General features: G+C 41.0%; 1 protein-coding gene across 1 annotated transcript in view; it reads left to right on the top strand.

The window, feature by feature from the left end:
• The window catches only part of TMEM132D (transmembrane protein 132D), an 832,300-nt gene that overhangs the window by 53,142 nt on the left and 769,978 nt on the right, over window positions 1–9,180 (top strand). The window lies entirely within an intron of this gene.

Genomic DNA, 9,180 nt, shown 5'->3' with positions numbered 1-9,180 from the left:
CTAATTTCTAAGAAAAGTATTTATTTTGTGTCCTCACATGGAAAAGTCCCCAGTGTGTGTGGCATTGCATAAATATGAATAAATCATCGTTGGTAACAATTAAAAGCATTTGTGCTAAACATGTAGCCTCAGCTTGTCCTCTCACTGGAAGATGCTGATGGATTTGCAGAAAGTTTCCTGATTGAATGATGCCAATTACTGATCTTTATTCAACTCTGGGAAGTATTGTAGAAAACGTCCTGATTCCTATAGAAGACATATGTATAAAATACCCTGTCCATACCTAGACCCCTGCAAGCAAACAAACCAAAGCAAAATAATGTTAACAACTACAGGAACCAACCCTCACCCACCCTGAGGCCCTTGAAGTGTGCATTGTGTACTTAGAGGAATCTTGATGTCGCCTTTGCTGACATTTTTGCCCCACCCACATCCCCTTAACATGTTTCATCTTTGCGTGGCCAAGTTTCCCGTGAACTTGGAACTAAGTGCCTGGTGCACATCCTCCGTGGGGGCAGGCCTGGCCCCAGTCAAAGACACATTTGTTAAAGGGCTCAGGGTTGAATTATGACTTGGGGGCCCTGTGGAGTGTTCTCCACCCAGAACTGGGAAGAACTCCCCTAGCTCCTTCCTCCTGTCTGTGAGTCACGTGTTCCTCGTCCTTCCAGATTGGAGCTTTGCAAAAATCAATGTGAGCACAGGAGACAGAGAGGAGAGAGAGAGATCCACCACTTCTTTCAGACTTGGGCCTTTCGCTTCCTCAGCTCTCCCACAAAATACCTTCAGAAAGAAACTAAGTCTAGGATCATAGTTTTCAAATCCACAAATATATGGGAATTCCACATTTCAGTGGAGGCTCTTACCAAATGGAAGACTATTGCTATATGCGTGAGCATTTTTCTCTTGCTGTTAAGAACTTATGCAAATATCCCCATCCATTTGACAAGACAGGCAGGCTGAGGTGGTGTGGAATGGTGGGAAGCCCCTGGGTATATTCAGGGGTCACGCAGCACCAAGATAAAACCTCGGCTCTGGTATTTATTATTGTTTAATCTGAACATTTTCTGATTCAACTCCCTTATCTGTGTAATCGTGTATACTGATATCATAATTTATAGGACTGTTGTAAGATTCAGAGGAGAGAATGTGTATGCAATGGCTACCGCGTTGCCTGGCAGGGAACTGGCCTCAGTAAAGCTCAGTTCCTTCCCTGCAGTTTCTCTCCCCTGCTTTCCTCACCAGCAACAGTCACGGGGTGACCAGTTAGCTTTTGTAAATGATGAAGCCAAAACTTTTCTTTGGTGGGAGTGTCAATGGTATTGTAATTTAGTAATTATGTGGTATAAATAGTCATCATCTATAGCTGTGTTCACATAACTCGAGTAGATTCAAATTCAATTATTATATAGAAAGGAATTCGATTTTTGTAAAGTCAGAGCAAACTGCATCTCAAGGCTTTTATTTTCAGTTTTGGATTGATGACTCAAACTAAGCGGGGAGATTTGCTTTTTCCCCTAGAAAAACAAGTATGGTTTATGCTTGTATTTTTTGGTATTTAGGCATGTATTTTAGAAAACCTTGCTTATATTCTTTAAAATGTTTTAAAAAGCAGCGTATTTATATATAGAGATGTCAAAATGGGATACACTTGGGTTTGGGAAATGAAAATTGATTAAACATGACTAGACCACTACTGAAGCTCTGAGATGTCCCTTTGTAAAAGTGGAGACTGGAAAGCCAGGGATGCTTAAGGTCTGACTGCTTGCATTATAAACTCCTGTCCGTGACCACATAGAATGTGTTTTTCTCTGGAACATTTCTCCTTAATTACTAAGCCCCTACTCCAGTCTTGGGAGTGAATGAATATTCCAGCCTTAAAATGATAATTTGCAATTATACGAGAGGCAGGAAGGGAAATCAACTTGGCTGGGATGAGGCAAGAGGGTGTGAACGGGAACAGTGGGATGAAGTTGAGGGAAGCAAAGAGGAAGATGAGTAGGACAGATAGTGGTGGTAGGAGAATTCACTTCTTCACGTGGTTGTCCTCCCACTTCAGGGATGTGTTGACTCACATGTGCTGATGGGACCTGAACGTCTCATTGGTTTCAACTCAAGAGACTCCAAGAATCAATCTTTGGGAGAAATTAAAATGATCCCTCAGAATTATTTTGAATTTTCATGAAATTGAGAAACAGGAGAAATTAAAGTAACTCATCAAAAAGACAAACCCAGTGAAAAGACCAAAGTGCCCACATTTTCCTGAACAGAAAATATCTAATTTGCAAATGACTGTCCTACACCTCTACCCAGGATAGTCCTTGCTAAGAGTCATGTAGACTATTTTACCTTCTTGATATAATTTTCTACTTTTTCCCCATTGGAAAACGTGTCTTTTTGATGTTCAGATTTTTTAAGTGCTAGGACCAACTTACTCAAACAAGACATTTTTATCTTAAGACCAAGCTGAAGCATTCCGGTACCGGGAGACAGTTCTTATTATCTATCGAAGAAGAAAAATTGTCACTTCTGTGTCCCAATTCCTTCATGCTTCATTTCAGGATGATCCTTTAGGGACCATATGCCCTGGAAATCTTTACAGAATCGCTGTGGTGATTTCTAAAGGAACCATTAGGAAACGATTTTTGAGTGTTTTATTGGCAAAAAACTGCAATTACTTTCGCACCAACCTAATAGATGTCAGGTACAAAGGACGCACCCTTGGTTCAGAGAGGAAATCCTGCTGGAAGAAATCACAATGCTCAGCATCCAGAGGGGAGTCAACTCTCACTTATTGGAGTTAATTGAACAGATCAATCAACACATTATGCAAAGTCATTGCTAAACCACAACTTACATAAAGTGCTTTTAATTTGAGCAGACACACCCCCATTTCAGGTTCTTGGAGCCGATGAGCTCAGCTGTGTCATTCTGCTTGGAGTCCCTAACACTACTGCGGGCAGGTGGTGGCTGTGGCTGGAGTCCTCTGAAGGCTGCCCCATGCATGTCTGGGAGCTTCTCCCGTGGCAACCTTGGGGTTCCGCACTGCGTGATAGTTTTAGGGTTGTCAGACTTCTTGCACGACATCTTTTTTTTCCAGGGCAAGTGTTCCAAAAGACAGGAAGTGGAAGCTGCCAGTCTCTAAGGCTTGAGCCAGGAGACTAGCAGAACGTCACCTCAGTCCCGTTCTGCAGGGAGGTCAAAGCGGTCATAGAGCAAGGACGTAGACCTCACCCCTGGATTAGAGGAGTGTCAGGTATCTGTACTCCACTACAGAAGAGAAATGCAGTCAGTGTTCCTAATATTCGGAAATGCCTTTTGAGCTGATGCCTCTGCTGATTTTAAGCCATGGCCAAGGGTGAACAGAGCTGACCAGAGCCGTTGGAAGCCCCTCAGACCTGGGAAGACTAAAATTGAAGTTCAAGGCTATCACAGCAGCCAAGACTGAGGGTAAAAACCTGGAGAAGAGGAAAAAGCCTCAGAGTGATTCCAGTGTTTTGCACCACTGTTTCTCTTGAAGCATTTCCAATTAATCACAGCAGACAAAAGGCTGGGGAATTGAACAGAAAGTGCCAGCAAAGAGGCTGAGGAGGTAAGCAACAACTCATAATAACGTTGACCTAGAGAGACAAAAATGAAGTTCAGGACCTGCCCAGGAAGATGGGCCAGTCAACATCCAGGCTCTTGGTTGCAGTTGCCAAACAGCCAGAAGCCAGGAACACAAGTGAACCAGAAATAGATTAATCCTCACTGAAACTCAACATCTACTTTGAAATAGTTCAAGCACAGGCTGGATTAAGAATCTCTCCTCTTACTCTAATTGCCTGCTTGCAACAAAATAAATTCTCTCTGGGGTAAATTAACGTAATCCACAGTATTTATAATTTTTTGTAATACATTGTCTGGTGTCCAGTGGAAAAGTTTCCCAGGCATACAAGAAACTAAGGCCAAGGGAGAGGGGGCAGAAGTCGACTCATGGATGATCCAGATACTGGAATTTTCATAGTGGATTTAAAAATAACTATAATAAATCAATAAAAGGAAACATGACAAGATTAGCAGGAAATTAAAATATATACAAAGAATCAAATAAAAATTCTAGAACTGAATAATAGAATAACCAAAGTTAAAAATATAATACTTTGGCTTAAGAGAATATTAGAATGAGTGAACTGGAATACAGGTCAGGAGAATATATTCTCAAGAGCAAAGATGAAAGAGAGAAACAGAGAATTTTCCAAAGCTAGTGAGCAACATCAAGCCACAGATTCAAGAAGTGATATGATGTCCAGCCGTAAAGGAAATCACACCTGGGTATATCATAACGGACTTGCTAAAAAGAGGAAAATGACAATTAACGTAAAAGAAAGCAACAATAAGATTAAAGTTGACTTTTGAACAGAAATAATGACATTCAGAAGACAATGGAGTGATGTGTTTAAGATGAAGAGAACCCAAGGACCTAGAATTCTATATATAGAAAATATATTCTTTAAAAATGAAGACTAAATAATAGTATTTTTGAAAAACCAACCAGAAAGACTTTGACTTAGTCAGCCTTCAGTGAAAGAGATGCTAAAGGCATTTTCAAATAGAAGGAAAACCAGCTCTAAGAAAGCATGCAAATGCAGGAATGAATGAAAGGCCATGATAAGTGCATGGGTAATTAAATGAAAATTGATCACACAGAGTAATAATTAGATAAACTTAGGTCAGTTTGAGGTAGGAGGTGAGACTTGACTCCAGAAGTGGGGCTTGGGCTGTGGACCAGATTGAAGACTACCTGAAACAGGGACAAGGCAAAAGCACCTCCCCATAAGAAATGCCCACCAGTCCATGTTGGTTTATCATTGCCATGGTAACACCCAAAAGCTGCCTCCCCTTTCCATGGCAACGACCCAATGACCTGGAAGTTACTACTCTATTTCTAGAAATTGCTGCATAACTTGCCCCTTAATTTGCATGTAATTAAAAGTGGGTATCAGTACGACTGCAGAGCTGCCTCTGAGTTGCTGCTCTGGGAGCACGGCCTGTGGAGCAGCCCTGCTCTGCCAGGGGCAGGACCTCTGCTGCTGCTGTTCACTGCTGCTTCAGTAAAAGTTACCACTGGCTCACCCTTGAATTCTTTCCTGGGCAATGCCAAGAACCCTCCTGGGTTAAGCCCCAATTTTGGGGCTTATCTGCCCTGTGTCATTTTGATTTGAATTTTACTAGATACTGTTTATAATAGTGATTTTGCTTTGAGAATCACTTTAATTTGGGTTAAATCTAATATGAACTTGTAATGAAATTTTGAGACAGACCTTACCAGTGGGGCAGCTGAGGGGCTTTTGTAGGATAATATTTAAACACAGTCAGTATCTCTAGAATTTCCATGTAGTAAGAGAAAGAGCAAGTATAGTATTGCAAGCGTGGCCCTTTCCGTCTCAGACGTGTTTCATTTCCCAAAAAGGTTGTGAATGGTTTTGTTGTTATTTATTTCTGACTAATGTAAAACATGTTGCTCTTGATACCTCTAAAACAGCGGCACAAAGAAAGACATTCAGGTTTTATCTGCCTTTAGAAGTTCCTCTTAGGCTATAACATTTCTCAGGAACATAAATCTGCATTTAAACATTCTTATAGGGAAGTGTTGTTTTGATTATTAGTTAGCCCTGGGATATTAGCCACAAAACAGATTTACTTGGTATGCGTATTTTAAATATATGTATCCATACATATTAATTTCATGTTATTTCCCTTGAGTACGTATGTTTTTCTTCTAGATATTGAAATAAAATCACCGTTTCTCTGTACACCAAAAGGTAAACTTCTCGTTTTGAAAACACAGGGTAAGGTAGCACTTTAATTATTTTACCAGCTGGCTCCGTGGGAGTTGGTTGGATCTCATTGCACTTGCATCAGAGGTAAAGGAAGTAGAAATGTCAGCTGATTATAGAGCATAATCATCACCAGATGTTTTGAAATCCCTCCTGTCTCATGAATAGGTGACTCTATCCTTCCTTCAAATGGATGGTGCTTAGTGTGACCTCCACCACTCCAAGCCAAAATGGAAAGTGGATTTTATGACTCAAAATCCTATTGTTACTAGTTCATTAAGGACTGTGATTCAGCCCCTTGACAATGCAAAAGATGAGTTCTGGGACCATATAAGGGAGAGGTTATGATTCTGTTGGAACTGAAAGCATTGATTTCACTACTGTGGCCTTCAGACACCTGCTTACACTGAAGAAATTTCTCCAAGCACAGCATCGTTCTTCTCATTATTTAGAGGTGCATAAGGGCTCACAGGCTTTGCTTAGAAAGTCCAGCACTGCAAGATTTTCTTTTAAACCCGATGAGCTTTGTCTGTTCAGATGAACATCCGTGAAATTGCTGGAATCTTTAATAGTGATGAATAATCTCCCTAAACATTGGGATTACATTTGTCTTGGCAAGATACACTACAAGAGATATGGGGGATCCGGAGAGTGGAGGGGGTAGGCATGAGACCTCATCTCACACACACTCCAGGTCAAATGCCCACCTGGCAGAGTGACTTGCAGGCTCACCTCTTCTTCAGATTATATGCTTCTCATGCAAGCTCTCTCTCCTTCCCCCTTCCCTCAATTGTTTCAAGCATGTAAAGATGAATTGGCATAAGTTATTGTATGTCATTAAAAATAAGTGTCATTCATAAGATTTATCCCCTCTTCAGATGTGTTGAAATATGCGGGCTAGCATTGACCCAATGGAAGAATGCCTGTTCCATGGCACTTCATAAGTTCTTTTTATTTGTTGGTTTCCGAGACAGAGTCTCACTCTGCCACCCAGGCTGGAGTGCAGTGGCATGATCATGGCTCACTGCAGTCTTGACCTCCTGGGCTCAAGTGATCTTCCTGCCTCAGCCTCCCATGTAGTTATAACTACAGGCACACACCACCACACCCAACTAATTAAAAAAATTTTTTTTTTAATTTTTGTAGACACAGGGTCTTACTATATTGCCCAGGCTGGCCCTGAACTCCTGGGCTCAAGCAATCCCCCCACCTCGGCCTCTCAAGGTGCTGGAATTATAAGCATGAGCCATCATGCCTGGCCATTTGATAAGTTCTGATAGGTTCAGGGAGAGGTCAGTTAGATGGTAGTGAAAGTGTCTTTCAATATCTATTTTGTTAGTGTGTCAGTAGTAGTTTTTTGAGTAGCTGGTATTTTTTGTTGTTGTTACAAATGTGATGTATTTGTATTATAGACTCTAATACTGTGAAGGTCCCTTCCTGCCTGTGTCCCTGTTTCCGCTCGTACAAGGTCAGCACCTCTTGAGATTGTTTGCTTATTTTTGTTTCTGCAGGTTATTTTGATCCTTTTTGTTTTTGATTGCATAAATAATCTGTCAATATCATTTAGCGTGTAGTGGTTTTCAATAAATCATTTTTGCATTCTACATTCCATGTGTTTGATTTATGTCTTGTGATTCGATGCAATTATGATCACTTATGGGGTGGAATCGTGTCATAAATTTGACATGGTCTATATGAGGAAGAATCTAGTAAATATTTGACAACGTATTTATAAACTCTAATATTTTAGATAGATTTATCTTCTAATTGAGGCTTTCTGAAAATTCTTAATCTATTATTTGGTCATATTCTTTTTTTATTAAAATGTTTTTTTATTTTGGAAAACAGTCTTATGTGGATCAGACACACTGGAGATTCTCCTTCAAAAAGTGGGCTCTATGGGCAAGTATATTGAAAAAAATACTGTTAGAGTTAAACAACATCTTACAGGCAGTACTATTTACAGAATATACTATATTCGTAACATTGTTAGAGACTTCCAAACTTAACTCATTTGTGTTTTACGTTTTTTGCCATATCTGGAACCAACAGTACTATTATTTGCTGAATGTTCTCTTTTGTAATGAGACACTTTTTCAATAATAAAATATTTTATCATAAAATTTTACATAACTAATATAAGTGGAAAGCCAGGATTATTTATGAAAAATAGAGGCTAAAAATTGAACACAACAAAAGCAAACAGGATGACTCGTCTCTTAGCAGATACCGTGTCCTGCTCTGTGTCCACTGAAAGGGGAGATCGGCAATGCTGGGGAAATTAAAGATACACCAGCAGGAAGCAGGAATCTCTCCCTCGCCTGAAATCTCAGCTCTTTGGGAGGTCAAGGCTGGAGGATCGCTTGAGCCCAGGAGTTCTAGACCCGCCTGGGCAACATGGTGAGACCCTGTCTCTGCAGAAAATTAAAAAATAAGCTGGGCATGGTGTCATGTGCCTGTAGTCCCAGCTCCTCAGGAGTCTGAGGTGGGAGGAGTGCTTGAGCCCAGGAGGCTGAGGCTGCAGTGAGATAAGATCACACTACTGCACTCCAGCCTGGGAAACAGAGCAGGACTCTATCTCAAAACAAATATAAAACAAAACCAAAAAAAAAAGAAATATTTCTGCCTCAATGGCATCAGTAGGATTGGCAAGACATCGGAAAGAGAATAATTTCTTCACAGAACGACCCAGTCCTATTGAATGCCAGCGTTTAAACCACCTGAAATCTCTGTGTCTGTCCCCAGGGGTCTCCATCACTTTGGGAAAATGAGATGTTGCAATTGTGGGGTCAGACATCCAGGTGAAAACACAGGAGTGCTGGCCGGGCGCGGTGGCTCACGCCTGTCATCCCAGCACTTTGGGAGGCCGAGGCGGGTGGATCACAAGGTCAGGAGATCGAGACCATCCTGGCTAACAAGGTGAAACCCCATCTCTACTAAAAATACAAAAAAAAAAAAAAAAAAAAAAAATTAGCCGGGCGTGGTGGTGGGCGCCTGTAGTCCCAGCTACTCAGGAGGCTGAGGCAGGAGAATGGCGTGAAACCAGGAGGCAGAGCTTGCAGTGAGCCGAGATCGCGCCACTGTACTCCAGCCTGGGGGACAGACCGAGACTCCGTCTCAAAAAAAAAAAAAAACACGAAAACCACGAGTGCTTAGAGCAAGGGCTGGCTCTTAGGAGGTGCTCAACGAATATCAGCCATTACTATTATTACTTAATTTTCTTATATATTAATTTTATTTTTATTAAAAGGACTAGAACCCATTTATTCAGTAGACTATTCCTGAGTTGATTGCTTTGGTATTTTGGGGAAAAGAGAGGACATTCTCATTTAAATACAATTAATATTTTAGCAGTGACGCATTC

The sequence above is a fragment of the Homo sapiens genome, chromosome 12 (assembly GCF_000001405.40).
Source record: "Homo sapiens chromosome 12, GRCh38.p14 Primary Assembly".
Classification (NCBI taxonomy): domain Eukaryota; kingdom Metazoa; phylum Chordata; class Mammalia; order Primates; family Hominidae; genus Homo; species Homo sapiens.
Note: the sequence above shows the minus strand (reverse complement) of the source record. Positions and strands in the feature narration are given on the sequence as shown.